General features: G+C 41.8%; 1 protein-coding gene and 2 pseudogenes across 2 annotated transcripts in view; 2 read left to right on the top strand and 1 right to left on the bottom strand.

The window, feature by feature from the left end:
- The window catches only part of SHLD2P3 (shieldin complex subunit 2 pseudogene 3), a 41,519-nt pseudogene extending 36,685 nt beyond the window's left edge, over positions 1-4,834 (bottom strand). Inside the window, exon 1 of the transcript NR_027634.1 lies at positions 3,305-4,834. The product of NR_027634.1 is annotated as a shieldin complex subunit 2 pseudogene 3, transcript variant 1 (transcript). The remainder of the gene's footprint in view (positions 1-3,304) is intronic.
- The window catches only part of ANXA8 (annexin A8), a 523,804-nt gene that overhangs the window by 297,263 nt on the left and 211,797 nt on the right, over positions 1-14,744 (top strand). The window lies entirely within an intron of this gene.
- On the top strand, positions 1,807-2,135 carry RN7SL453P (RNA, 7SL, cytoplasmic 453, pseudogene; annotated as a pseudogene).

Raw genomic sequence — 14,744 nt, 5'->3', positions numbered from 1 at the left:
CAGGAGAATCACTTGAACCCAGGAGGCAGAGGTTGCAGTGAGCAGAGATCACGCCACTGCACTCCAGCCTGGGCAACAGAGCAAGACTCCATCTCAAAAAAAAAAAAAAAAAAAAAGGAAGATTTCTGTTTGGGGGTATATATCAATAGGTAGTATGAACTACCCAAGCTATCCAACTAAGTTCACTGACTCATTAGGACAACAGAAAAGTGTAGATTTCTTTTTTTTCCCAACATTTCCATCTGTTCCACACAAAAGAAACTTATTCAGAATTCGGTGAACTAGATCCTCTTTTTCTTAAAAAGACAAAAAAAATCTGATTTTTTAAAAAAAGTTCATAGAAATCATCTAAATGTCTTATAATAGGAAAATGGTTAAGTAAATTGCATTACAGCCACCAGAGAGAATGTTACCTAGTCGTTAACAACTATAGAGATGTTAGGAAAAAATACAGAGATTGCAGAGTTGAGTTTACACCTACCTAGGAAAACGGAAAAGGCCCCTGAGAGGTCCCTGCTGACATTAATTGCCTCGGTAAAATGACCATGGTCCAGGATCCAGCCCTCTTTTACAGTCTGGGAAACTTAATTTTGTTAACACTCCAAAACTAGATTTCAGCTCTGCAACATAAGCTCATACTAAATCAATTAATGAAACAAATTAAAGAAAAAAAACATTTTTTTTTCATTTACAATAATTGCCCAAAAAAAAACAGTATTTCAGCCTGTTCTCATGCTGTGGGCAGCTCTACAACTAGAAAGCCAAATCACAAGCAAAGAGGTATTCAGCAAGCACTGAATCAGAACAGAGGGAGTTAGGTGAATTGAACCTCCAATAATATAATCACATATAAATAATATTAGCTAATATTGCCAGTGGGATGTGGCTATGCTAAGCCTGTTCATTACAATTTTGTGTTTACCTCTTTATAAAAGATTGTACTCGGCCGGGCGCGGTGGCTCACGCCTGTAATCCCAGCACTTTGGGAGGCCGAGGCGGGCGGATCACGAGGTGAGGATATCGAGACCATCCTGGCTAACACAGTGAAACCCTGTCTCTACTAAAAATACAAAAAAATTAGCCGCGCGCGGTGGCAGGCGCCTGTAGTCCCAGCTATTCGGGAGGCTGAGGCAGGAAAATGGCGTGAACCCGGGAGGCAGAGCTTGCAGTGAGCAGACATCGCGCCACTGCACTCTAGCCTGGGTGCCAGAGCCAGACTCCGTCTCAAAAAAAAAAAAAAAGATTGTACTTGACAATCCTACAGGAACACCAAGGTACATTAGCTAAGGTTCTCATTCCTCCTGTAAACTATTTGGTAGGACTATCAATATTGCTTCGAAGTTTTCTTTTTCTAAATACCGCCTCTGTATCACATTCTTTCTTTAGATATTTTATTAAGCTTAATCAACTTCCTCCTGCTCTAATACACCATGTGTCAATTTTAAATCAACAAAGAACACGTAACACAATGTTAGATGTCTTCGGTGAAAACATATTCTGGCCAGGCACGGTGGCTCACACTTGTAATCCTAGCATTTTGGGAGGGCGAGGTGGGCGGATCACCTGAGGACAGGAGTTCGAAACCAGCCCGGCCAACATGGTGAAACCCCGTCTCTACTAAAAATACAAAAATTAGCCAGGCATGGTGGCTTGCACCTGTAATCTCAGCTACTCAAGAGGCTGAGGCAGGAGAATCACCTGCACCCAGGAGGCGGAGGTTGCAGTGAGTCAAGATTGTGCCACTGCGCTCCAGCCTGGGTGACAGAGCAAGACTGTCTCAAAAAAAAAAAAAAATTAAATATTCTCTCTGGGTGCAGCGGCATGCGTGCCTGTAGTCCTGGCTACTTGGGAGACTGAGGCAGGAGGCTCACTTGAGCCCAGGAGTTCAGAGTTGTAGCCGATCAGGTGTTTGCACTAAGCTTGCCATCAATATAGTGACCTCCTGGGAGTGGAGGACCACAGGTTCCCTAAGGAGGGGTGAACTGGTCCAGGTTGGAAACAAGGGCATGTTAAAAATACCATGGGCACGGTAGCTCACGCCTGTAATCCTAGCACTTTGGGAGGCTGCGGCAGGAGGATCAATTGAGCCCAGGAGTTGGAGATCAGACTGGGTAATGCAGTGAGATCCTGTCCTTATTAAACAAACAAACAAAAAATTAAAAATAACAATTCAAAAATTCTCATGCTGATCAGTAATGGGATTGTGCCCGTGAGTACCCACTGCACTTGGCAACATAGCAAGACTCTGTCTCTTAAAAATAAATAAATTAAAAATTAAAAAAACAAAATGTTCTTTATGGTTACAACTATATAGTAAGAGTATAAATTCTGGAGTCTAGGAGAAACTATAGCTTTGCCACTTCCTAGATGTATGACATTGGACAAGTTACTTTACTTCTCTGGGCTTCAGCTTCCTCAACTGAAAAGTGGGGATAAAAATCAGTACCTTCCTCATATACTTGTTGTAATGAAATATGCATGTAAAATCTAAAACAGGGTCTCACAAACTAAGCTCCCAATAAATATGAGCTTCTATGTGTGATATATACACACATGCACACACATTTTAAGGAGAACAGAGAAAATAACTGGAAGGCAACACTCTCGAACTCTATTGGTGGTTATATGAAGTTGGTATAATACCAGTTTTTTCCTTTCCATATTTCCAAGTGTAATTAATATAATTTTGATAATAAAATAAGGCAACAGAAATCAATAACTGTTCCCACAGTAAAAACACAATGTGCACAGCATTATTAGACATTAGGTAAAGAAGCAGAAAGGTCTAACTCTGTTGCTTGGGCTAGAGTGCAGTGGCCCAATCAAAGCTCACTGCAGCCTCAACCTCCTGGGCTCAAGCAATCCTCTCATGTCAGCCTCCTGGGTAGCTGGGACTACAGGCACGCAAAACTTAATTTATTTTTTGTAGAGACGGGTTCTGTGTTGCCAAGGCTGGTCTCAAATTCCTGGCCTCAAGCAATCTTCCTGCCTCAGCCTCCCAAAGTGCTGGGATTACAAGTGTGACCCACTCCACCTGACTAGGGAAGGCTTATTAAAGGAGGGGATAAGTGGAAAGAAGGGGCAGAGCTGAGAAGGATAGAACAGAGGCCCAGAAGTGGCAATGGGCAGGAGAGTGGACAATGGAAAGGAGAGCAATGCAGATGCAATAAAGGGATCAATTATGCTGAGCTCAGAAGAGGCAAATGACTAAAGAAAGAGTCTTCAAAGACTAAGTGGGAGAAAACAAAAACAAACAAAACTTAGCTTTATAAAATAAGCTACCACTATACCATAATGACCTCACCCGTGAGTAAAATTATATCTCCAAGAAACACTGTAAATGCCCAAAATGCTGCAGTCCTCCACAGAAAAACCTTCTTCTTAGTTTCTGATTGATCACTTACTGTAACTGTTGCTAAAGGCACTTTAGAGCCAGAATTTGGTCCGAATTTTATGTTTATTTCCTTCACATGGCATGGAGATAGCACCATGACTAAACAATTATACTTCTGGCTTTTAGAATCACAGTTTTTTATTAATGATTTTTTTAATACTCTTAAATTCAGACACATTTCTCCGATCCATTTCTACAGCAGAATCTCCTCCATTAGAAATCAACTTCATTTTCTTAGCTACTTGAAGGACTCTAGATAGAGCTTCAGACTGGGCCACTTTATCTTCAGAGGTACAGCTTCTTTTAATAGCACTTTTGTGGAAGGTATTTAGTTGGGAACACAGTATTCCTGAGCTACACAACTCAATACGTATCTCATTTGGTGGCAGTTCATCTTCAGAACTGAAAAGTTCTTGAGATCCTGTATGTTCTTCAAGACCTTTATCAGAGTTTATGTGAATGCGGCTATTTTCTGTTTTAGGACAAACAGGACTAAAAAGTTCAAGGGAATATGCTTGGTTTTGTCCACTTTCATATGCTTCTGTAAAACCATCAAGCTGAATCGAATTCTCTTCAGGTATTCTTATCTCCCCGTAACTTGCCTTTGGTTCAGTCTCCATGTTTACATTCCCTTTATTTACAGGACTCCGCCTTTTATCTTTCTTTTGAGCTAAAAAAAGCAACCTGGCTGGAGGTAATTATACTGAGAAATTCTTTATCAGTTGATATTTTAAGGTCTGAGACCTTCTTAACTGCTGCTTCAGACCTTGACTTATCTACTGAGTTCGAGGAAAATAATCCCAAACGCTGGTTTTGTATTTCATGATATTCTGTTGGCACACACTCTCTTTGTACCACTTCAGGCCCTATATTAATTTTTTCAGTACTACAAACCAAATCCAACACAGCTGCACATTTATGGCCCAACTGAAACAAATTTGTGTTAAAGTTCTGACCACATATATCTGGCTGATGTTTAGGCTGTTCATCTCTAATTTTATTTTCACTGAGAAGCTTTGATACTTTTCTTCTTCGGTTAAATGCGGAACTGTGCTTTTAAATCCACATATTTGCATATTAGAGCTAGTTATGCCACTCAGTCTAGAGGAGTGAATCTTCTGGGATTCTATATTCTGTGTTTCAGAAACAGAACGTACAAAGTCATCTTTCACATGAACATGTCTATTCATACAGTTTGCTAAGAAATGACCACAAAGATCTGGAGAACCAATAGAATCTGGGACTTCATAGTTTTCAAGATTTTTGTGCTGTTTTTCATCCTTCAGATATAAAGAATGTTGACTGTATAAAAGCTGAATTTTTTTCCAGGGGTCAGCAACAGACATTAAAGAAGCTGTGTCTTCTGATACTGTCATTTTCAGTGGAGCAACTGGAGCACCCCAAAAAATGTGGACTTGAGATCCTCCACTCATGATTTCTGATAAAAATGAAAAATCCAAAATTAATATATTGTCAGCATATTTTTGCATATGGATATTAACTTAATAATGTACCAAAAGAAAATATAACTGAGTCAAAAACATAATTAACATAGGTGATTTTTTTGATATGCCATTTAATTATATAAATTCATAAATACACAAGAAATTATTAAGGAGAAATCACAATATTCACAAAAATTTTTCACCTAAAGACTCTCTTTAGGCCGGGCGCAGTGGCTCACACCTGTAATCCCAGCTCTTTGGGAGGCCGAGGCAGGTGGATCACGAGGTCAGGAGATCGAGACCATCCTGCCTAACAGCGTGAAACGCCGTCTATACTAAAAACAAAAAATTAGCTGGGCGTGGTAGCACATGCCTGTAGTCCCAGCCACTTGAAGGCTGAGGCAGAAGAATCACTTGAACCCAGGAGGCGGAGGTTGCAGTGAGCCTAGATTGCACCACTGCACTCTAGCCTGGGCAACAGAGTGAGACTCCATCTCAAAAAAAGACTCTCTTTAAGGGAAATAAAGCTAAGCACACTCACATCAAACAAGTTAATAGGTTTTTAGTATGTTTGTTTCATTTGAGATGGAGTCTTGCTCTGTTGCCCAGGCTGGACTGCAGTGTTGCCATCTAGGCTCACTGCAACGTCCACCTCCCAGGTTCAACCAATTCTCCTGCTTCAGCCCCCTGATTAGCTGGGATTACAGTCTGTGCCACCATGCCCGGCTAATTTTTGTACTTTTAGTAGAGACGGGGTTTCACCATGTCGGCCAGGCTGGTCTCAAACTCCTGACCTCAAGAAATCCACTCGCCTCTGCCTTTCAAAGTGCTGGGATTACAGGCGTGAGCCACCGCGCCTGGCCTGTTTCTTATGTTGTAAAAACTTGCCCCATTTAAATAACAAGTTAGTAAAGAATGGGAAAAGAGGCATTTGTTTAACTATATTACAGTCACCTTTAAATTAGTCATTTTGGGGCAGAGCACAGTGGTTCACGCCTGTAATCACAGCACTTTGGGAGGCCAAGGGGGTGGATCACTTGAGGTCAGGAGTTCAAGACCAGCCAGGCCAAGATGGCAAAACCCCATCTCTACTAAAAATACAAAAATTAGCCGGCTGTGATGGCCCATGCCTATAGTCTCAGTTACTCGGGAGTCTGAGGCAAGAGAAGCGCTTGAACCCAGGAGGAGGAGGTTGCAGTGAGCCAAGATCTCACCACTGCACTCCAGCCTGGGCGACAAAGCGAGACTCCATCTCAAAAAAAAAAAAATTACTCATTTTTGGCCAGCCATGGTGGCTCACACCGGTAATCCCAGCACTTTGGGAGGCCGAGGTGGGAGGATCACTTGAGACCAGGAGTTTGAGGCCAGCTTGGACAACATAGTAAGACCACCATCTCTACAAAAAAATTTAAAAACTAAAAAATTTCTTAAAATTAGCTGGACATAGTGGTGGAACACCTATAGTCCCAGCTACTAGGGAGGCTGAGGTGGGAGGATTACTTGAGCCTGAGAGGCGGACATTGCAGTGAGCCATGATCACACCACTGCACTTCAGTCTGAGTAACAAAGTGAGACCCTTTATTTATTTATTTTGAGACAGAGTTTTGCTCTTGTCACCCAGTCTGGAGTGCAATGACGCGATCTCAGCTCACTACAACCTCCTGTCTCCCAGGTTCAAGCAATTCTCCTGTCTCAACCTACCGAGTAGCTGAGATTACAGCCGTCTACCACCACGCCCAGCTAATTTTAGTTTTTTTAGTAGAGATGGGGTGTCACCATGTTGGCCAGGCTGGTCGCAAACTCCTGACCTCAAGTGATCCACCCACCTTGGCCTCCCAAAGTGTTGGGATTACAGGTGTGAGCCAACGTGCCTGGCGAGACTCTCTTTTTAAAAAAATGATTAAGAATCACTACTATTGCTATAACTACATATTCCAACCTCATTTAATCCTCATAGAAAGAATAACCTTCATAAGGAATAACTGGTATATTAGCTGTTCTATTGCATGTCATTATTAGATTTACCACTAGGGGCCCCAAATAGCACAGCAAAAGCCTTCAAGTTCAAAATACATTAATATGTCAAACCCAAGTGGGAGGAGAAATATATTATCTTGAAATGTTGGTTGGGGCCAGGCGTGGTGGCTCACGCCTGTAATCCCAGCACTTTGAGAGGCCGAAGCGGGAGGATCACCTGAGATCAGGAGTCCGAGACCAGCCTGGCCAACATGGCGAAACTTCATCTCTACTAAAAACACAAAAATCACCAGGGCGTGATGGCACCAGCCTGTAGTCTCAGCTACTAGGGAGGCTGAGGCAGGAGAATCGCTTGAACCCAGGAGGTTGCAGTGAGCCAAGATCGTGCCACTGCACTCCAGCACTCCAGCCTGGGTGACAGAGTGAGACTCTGTCTCAAAAAAAAAAAAAAAATGTTGGTGGGAATACTTAGATATATGCAAATCAAATGCATAACATTACCATGATAATGAATTCTCCTCCATCAGATCTTTGGCTTTCTTCTCCAATGGTTTCTTCCCTTTAGCTTCAAATCTTTATTTTATTTTATTTTATTTTATTTTATTTTATTTTTTGAGTTAGGGTCTCTCTCTCTCACCCAGGCTGGAGTGCAATGGTGCAATCATGGCTCACTGCAGCCTCAAGCTGCTGGGCTCAAGCTGTCATCCAGCCACAGCCTCCCAAATAGCTGGGACTACAGATACATACTGTCATGCTCAGCTACAAATCTTTAAAAATAAAACCAACCCCCCCGCCCCCACAAACTTGTTTGTTGTTTCTTACATCTCATTTCTCCTTTAATCTTCAACCACTTCTACTCCAACCATTTTGTTATAAAAGTTTTCACTATGGAAGCCAATGACCTTCTAGAAGCCAAATCCAAAGGTCAGTTTTCAATACTTTTAGTACCATTTGAAACTGTTTATCAATCCCTCTTTTCTGAAACATTCCGCTTTTTTGACTCTGTGAGACCACCATATTGGAATTCTTTTGTACTTAAGACAGATATGTATTGGATTATTCCTTCAATCACTCACGTAACAAACACTAAACATTACGTGCTGGGCATTATGCTAGGCCCTGGGAATTCAAAACAATAATAGAGAGCTTTAAGGAGCTTAATTTCTGAGAGGAAAAACAAACTGACAATTATAAAAAGTGACAGGAGGCCAGGAGCCTTGGCTCACGCCTGTAATCCCAGGACTTCGGGAGGCTGAGGCAGGTGGATCACCTGAGGTCAGGAGTTCAAGCCTAGCCTAGGCAACATGGTAAAATCCCATAAAAATACGAAAATTAGCCAGGTATGGTGGCACGCACCTGTAATCCCAGCTACTCAGGAGGCTGAGGCATGAGAATCGCTTGAACCCAGGAGGCAGAAGTTGCAGTGAGCTGAGATCACACCACTGCACTCCAGTCTGGGTGACTCTGTCTCAAAAAAAAAAAAAAAAAAAAAGTGATAGGAGCTACTACAGGATTAAAAGGAAGGGACAGCATCTCTAGAAGAGAGAAGCCTGGGGCAGTTCAACCAATGTGGAACTGCCCATTATCTGCATTTTTCGTAGGCTCTTAGGACTACAGTTAATCACAAAATTTTGAAACTGAATTTTATTAATGTTCAGAAAAAAAGTCATATAATAAAGTCCCCGAGTCATTCCCCACCCCAAAATAGGGCCCAGGAAAGCTGCCCTAATTGCCTTACCCAAGGGACAGGCCTACTATGGGTAATCTCCAAAATGTTTAAAAGGCATATACGACATTTACTGCTTCTGTGTCCTCACTTAATATTTTCTCCTAAATGTTCTGCAACCTTTCATTTCCTATCTGTGATAAGACAATAATGAAGTCCAAATTGCCAAATAAGAACTCACAGTGCTTCACCACTGCAGTTGTGAAACTCTCTCCTTAGTTTCTAGAACATTACTCTTTCCTAAATTGTTCTACCTCTCCAATTTCTCTCTCTCTCTCTTCCTCCTTGGGCCACCTCTTTCCATTCCACACACCTCTAGAGAATTTCATCCAATCCCATTCATATAACTACCACATATACAACTGTGCTTTACATATCTATACCGAGCCAATCTCTCTCCCAAACTTCAGACCTATATTTCTAGCATTACTATATTTGATAGGATCACAGTAGAATCAAAGGTGAGATTCAAAGCCCTACTTGCCTTCTAGGCAGGGGAAGATAGTAGAGCATAAAGGGATGACACGAAGCAGTCCTGAGAATTCAGAGGATCTCCCAGGGCAAGAAATATCTGAGATGAATGTGAGATCCACAAAACACAAGGTTTTTTTGTGTTTTTTTTTCTTTTTCTTTTTTTTTTTTTTTGAGACAGATTCTCGCTTTTGTCACCCAGGCTGGAGTGCAATGGCACAATCTCAGCTCACTGCAACCTCTGCCTCCTGGGTTCAAGCGATTCTCCTACCTCAGCCTCCCAAGTAGCTGAGATTACAGGCATGCACCACCATGCCCAGCTAATTTTGTATTTTTAGTAGAGATGGGATTTCTCCATGTAAGTCAGGCTGGTCTTGAACTCCCAACCTCAGCTGATCCGCCCGCCTCAGCCTCCCAAAGTGCTGAGATTAGAGGCATGAGCCACCGCGCTGGGTGGCACAAGGTTATTATATATAACTGTTATTTCAGTGTGCCTTCACTTATTTGTCTAAATCAGGGGTGTCTAATCTTTTGGCTTCCCTGGGCCACAACGGAAGAAGGAGAATTGTCTTGGGCCACACATAAAATACAGTTAACACTAATGATAGCTAATGAGCTTAAAAAAAACAATCGCAGGCTGGGCGCGGTGGCTCATGCTTATAATCCCAGCACTTTGGGAGGCCGAGGTGGGCAGATCACTTGAGGTCAGGAGTTTGAGACCAGCCTGGCCAACATGGTAAAACCCCGTCTCTACTAAAAATACAAAAATTAGCTTGGAGTGGTGGCACACACCTGTAATCCCAGCTACGCCAGAGGCTGAGGCAGGAGAATCGCTTGAACCCAGGAGGTGGAAGTTGCAGTGAGCCAAGATCGGGCCACTGCCCTCCAGCCTGGACAACAGAGCGAGACTCTGTCTCAAAAAAAATCTCAAAAAAAACTCATAATGTTTTAAGAAAGTTTACAAACTCATGTTGGGTTGCATTTAAAGCCATCCTGGACCACATGCAGCCCCACAGGCTGTGGGTTGAACAAGCTTGGTCTAAACAAATACCCTTGTAAGTGTAGAACTGTTACCCTACCCTCCTCACCCCCCCCCCAAAAAAAAACTTGACTAGAAAGTGGCCCTATTAATTCAAAAAATAGTAAATTTTTAAAAAGTGTTTATATCAAAGGCTACTGCTACTAAATACTCCAATTTATAGGAGTTGTGAGTATGTGAGTAGGAGGATGGAAACTGGCAAGGGCAGGGGGAAACAAAATATGTATGATAGCCAAATTATACAGACAGAAAAGTTATGGACAACTGATTAATTTCAATAATTCTAGGATATGTTTTAGGTGTACTCAGAGGGTTAAAGGTCATTAAGATACCAGATGAAACTTGCAAGTACATCTCCATTACCGCAGTTAATAATTATACAATTTCTCAATCTGCAGAAGGCCGCTTCAGTCGGAAAAACCAATACAACCATAATCCTTTATCTTTAGAGTGGTCAGAGTCTGATGAATGGGTCAAAGATTTCTAAAACAGGATGAATTGTATCAGCAGGTTTTGTCTTTGCAGAACACTGCAACTAAAAAAAAATGCTTATTACAAAACATGTATCATTAAAAGAGAGTGCTTTTCCCCTCTTATTACCAGGGAGTGAAAAAACTCCCTGTAGTAATGCCTTTTCATGTCTATTTTACCAAAAACACCAAAAAAATCATAAAGTTGCTCAATAGCATCAAATGACAAAGAAGCCACATGGGATTGTAATTAAAAGCAAGGGATTTGGAACAAGAGAGATGTGGGTTCAAATTACTACTCTGCAACTTACTCAAACTTGAAATTATTGAAGTTAAGTGATAGTTGCATGGGGTTCATTATACTATCCTTTGCTGGTGGTTAAAGAAAGTCATCCTTTTATTCTTTGACCTGATTGAACCAAATTCAATTTGCTATCATAGTTCATTTGTGTTAACAACACAGTACTAATAACCCACGTACTGTGTATATTCATGCTGAACTCTTTTAAGAATTACTAAATGCTGGGAGGCTGAGGCGGGCAGATCACGAAGTCAGGAGATCGAGGCCATCCTGGCTAAAAGGGTGAAACCCCGTCTCTACTAAAAATACAAAAAATTAGCTGGGCGTGGTGGCGGGCGCCTGTAGTCCCAGCTACTCTGGAGGCTGAGGCAGGAGCATGGCGTGAACCAGGGAGGCGGAGCTTGCAGTGAGCCAAGATTGCGCCACTGCACTCCAGCCTGGGCAACAAAGCGAGACTCCATCTCAAAAAAAAAAAAAAAAAAAAAAATTAGTAAATGCTTGTACCTAAATTTACTCTTTAAAATAATAGAAAATGTCCACTTTTTATGCAACTTATGAAAAGATATAAGATGATTTTTTTCCTCAGAAACAAAAGCAGTTGAAGTTTAAAGCTATCGCTCATTTAGTATCTCAAAGTAATAGCCACTAAAGCCAACCTGTGAGCAGACAACTGACTTCTCGACTCTCTTTGCATAACTTTTAATTTCCTTTGCAATTGTCTTTGGTATTCAAGTGAGACATCTGTAATCACATTCTCATCAACAACTGAGATGCCTTAGGCCAGTGTGGGTGAGCCTCTCTTATTCTGGCTTGCAATACAACGGGAATTTCTCCCTTTCACTCTTGTTCCAGGGCATTTGCCTTCTCCCAATAAAGTCCAAGCACTCAAACAGAAAGTGAACTTTACTCTAGCTGGTTTTCTGGCCTTAGGAATAGGGTGAGGCCAGGTGCAGTGGGTCATGCCTGTAATCCCAGCACTTTGGGAGGCCGAAGTGGGCAGGTCATGAGGTCAGGAGTTCAAGACCATCCTGGCTAACACGACAAAACCCCCGTCTCTACTAAAAACACAAAAAATTTGCCAGGCATGGTGGCATGTGCCTGTAGTCCCAGCTACTCAGGAGGCTGAGGCAGGAGAATCGCTTGAACCCGGGAGGTGGAGGTTGCAGTGAGCCAAGATCGCGTCACTGTACTCCAGCCTGGGCGACAGAGCGAGACTCCGTCACAAAAAAAAAAAAAAAAAAGAAAAAGAAAGAATAAAAAGAATAAGGTGAACATGCCTTCTGATTTGCCCAGAACAGTCCTAGTTTAGGCATGCCCTTCTGGTGTCCTGTTTAGTCAGGATCTTTTTTCCTTCTCAAAGGGTTGGAGATAGACTATATGGTATTCCTAGTTAAGAACCATATAAACACATGAATAAATATTCTATTAATGAAGAATGTGCCTTCTAATACACTTTATCTAAAATATTATAACAGGATTAACAGGTAAAGGGAAACATTGCTCAGTTTTCCTGTTAAAATATTTAAATAACAATGAAATACTAATTGAAATAAGGTTGAATTTTGTCTAAAAACTATGATACACATTTGAGACTCTCAAGACTGAGGTAAGACTCAAATGAGGTAAGACAGAGAACCCATGTTTGGCAACTAAGGGGGAAAAAAGAGGATCATGGCCGCCAGGTCTGTGTAATGAAGCTATGAGACAATGGGATAAGAGTTTTTTGGATCCAGCATTACTAGAAAATGTCTCAGCCCAGATGTCATTTGTCCAATGTCACGCCTAAGGTCGAAGAAGAAATCCTCAAATTCCTAAAATATCACACTTTGCCTCCCCATCCACACCATGCAACATCAAAAGGCCAGAATTTGGCCACGCACGGTGGCTCAAGCTTGTAATTACAGTACTTTACTTTGGGAGGCTGAGGCAGACAGGTTGCTTCAGCTCAGTAGTTCGAGACCAGTCTAGGCAACATGGTAAGACTATGTCGCTACAAAAAATTTTTTAAAAAAATTGCTGGGTAGGGTGGTATGTGCCTGTAGTCCCAGCTACTCAGGAGGCTGAAGTGAAAGGATCACCTGAGCCTGGGAGATCAAGGCTACAGTAAGCCGTGATTGTGCCACTGCACTCCAGCCTGGATGACAGAGTGAGACACTGTCTCTAAAAAAAAAAAAAAAAAAAAAAAAAGTAAAAATAAAAAGGACTGAACTTTAAGACTAGTAATCATGAACTCACAGGTAGGTGCCAGGGGTATGCCTGCCAACCCCTGTGCTTGCTTTCATCTCCACCCACCTCCCACAAAAGATGAAAAACAAAACAAACACAATCAAGAAAAATTAAAAAAAAAAAAAGAACTTTGCTACTTACGCCTTGACATTCCTTTGTGAAAAGTCATACTCAGCAAATAACAACTCCACTATCCCAATTCCCCAGGCCAAAAACCTTGGCATCATCACTGATATCTTTCTTTTTCCCCGTGCTCTACTTCCAATTTCTCATCAAATCCTTTTGGTCCTATCTTTAACGTTCATTCAGGGTTTGACCACTTTTCTCCACCTCCACCTGCTACTGCCTGGCTCAAATCACCATCCTTCTTCCACCACCATCCCCCTAGAAAACAGAGTTTACAAAAGGAACTTGCCCCAGGTCAGGAAGACTGCAGGTAGTGGAGGGAGTACTGGCATGTAGGAAATCAAACAGCAGAACATAAGTTCTTAACTACCACACTGACTCTCTGGTTTTTTGCCTTTGCACAATGTGGAGCTAGAATCCAAGTTAGAACACTGCCATTGAGTCATATGACATATGCTCCTAAAGCACTGATTTATCTAAAGAGGTATGAAAAGAATAAAACTTCAGCATAAAGGAGCTTCCTTATCAAAGAATTCCCATAAGAAAGTTCATTATAACTTAATGATGGGGTAAATAACTGGTTTTTAAGAAGACTTCTCTCCTTTTAAAAATTTATTTTTTATTCAGCTGGTAAGTACAAGAGAATTTTTTTTTAATTTATTTTTTAAACTGTCATATTGTAATTGTACATACTTATGGGGTACAATTTGATTTTTTTTTTTTTGAGATGGAGTCTTGCTCTGTTGCCCAGGCTGGAGTGCGATGGCGCAATCTCAGCTCACTGCAACCTCTGCCTCCCAGGTTCAAGCAATTCTCCCGCCTCAGTCTCCCGAGTAGCTGGAATTACAGGCATGCACCACCACACCCAGCTAATTTTTGTATTTTTAGTAGAGATGGGGTTTCACCATGTTGGCCAGGCTAGTCTTGAACTCCTGACCTCAGGTGATCCACCCACCGCAGACTCCCAAAGTGCTGGAATTACCAGCATGAGCCACCACGCCGGGCCACAGTTCGATGTTTTGATACATATCCATGTTGCATAATGATCCAATCAGAGCAGTTAGTGAAAGAACATTCAAAAGCCCCTCTTCCAGCTATTTTGTAATAATATTTTACTCTTAACTATACTCACCCCACTGTGCAATAGAACACCAGAATTTGAGATCAGGAGTTTGAGACCAGCCTGGCTAACGTGATGGACTAAAAATACGAAAATTAGCTGGGTGTGGTGGCATGCACCTGTAATCCCAGCTACTTGGGAGGCTGAGGGAAAAGAATCATCTTGAATCCAGGAGGTGGAGGTTGCAGTGAGCCAAGACTATGCCATTGCACTCCAGCGTGGGCAACAAGAGAGAAACTCCATCTCAGAAAAAAAAAAACAAAAAACCGAACACCAGAATTTATTTCTTCTCATTGTAACATTGGTTTATGTGTTATTATTGAGAAAGGATCTTGCTCTGTCTCCCATGCTGGAGTGCAGTGGCACGAACACAGTTCACTGCAGCCTCAACCTCCCAAGCTCAAGCAATCCTCCCACCTTAGCCACCTGAGTAGACAGGACTACAGGCC

Source organism: Homo sapiens, chromosome 10, assembly GCF_000001405.40.
Source record: "Homo sapiens chromosome 10, GRCh38.p14 Primary Assembly".
NCBI lineage: Eukaryota > Metazoa > Chordata > Mammalia > Primates > Hominidae > Homo > Homo sapiens.
The sequence above is the reverse complement of the archived record's forward strand: the minus strand, read 5'-3'. Positions and strand labels throughout refer to the sequence as shown.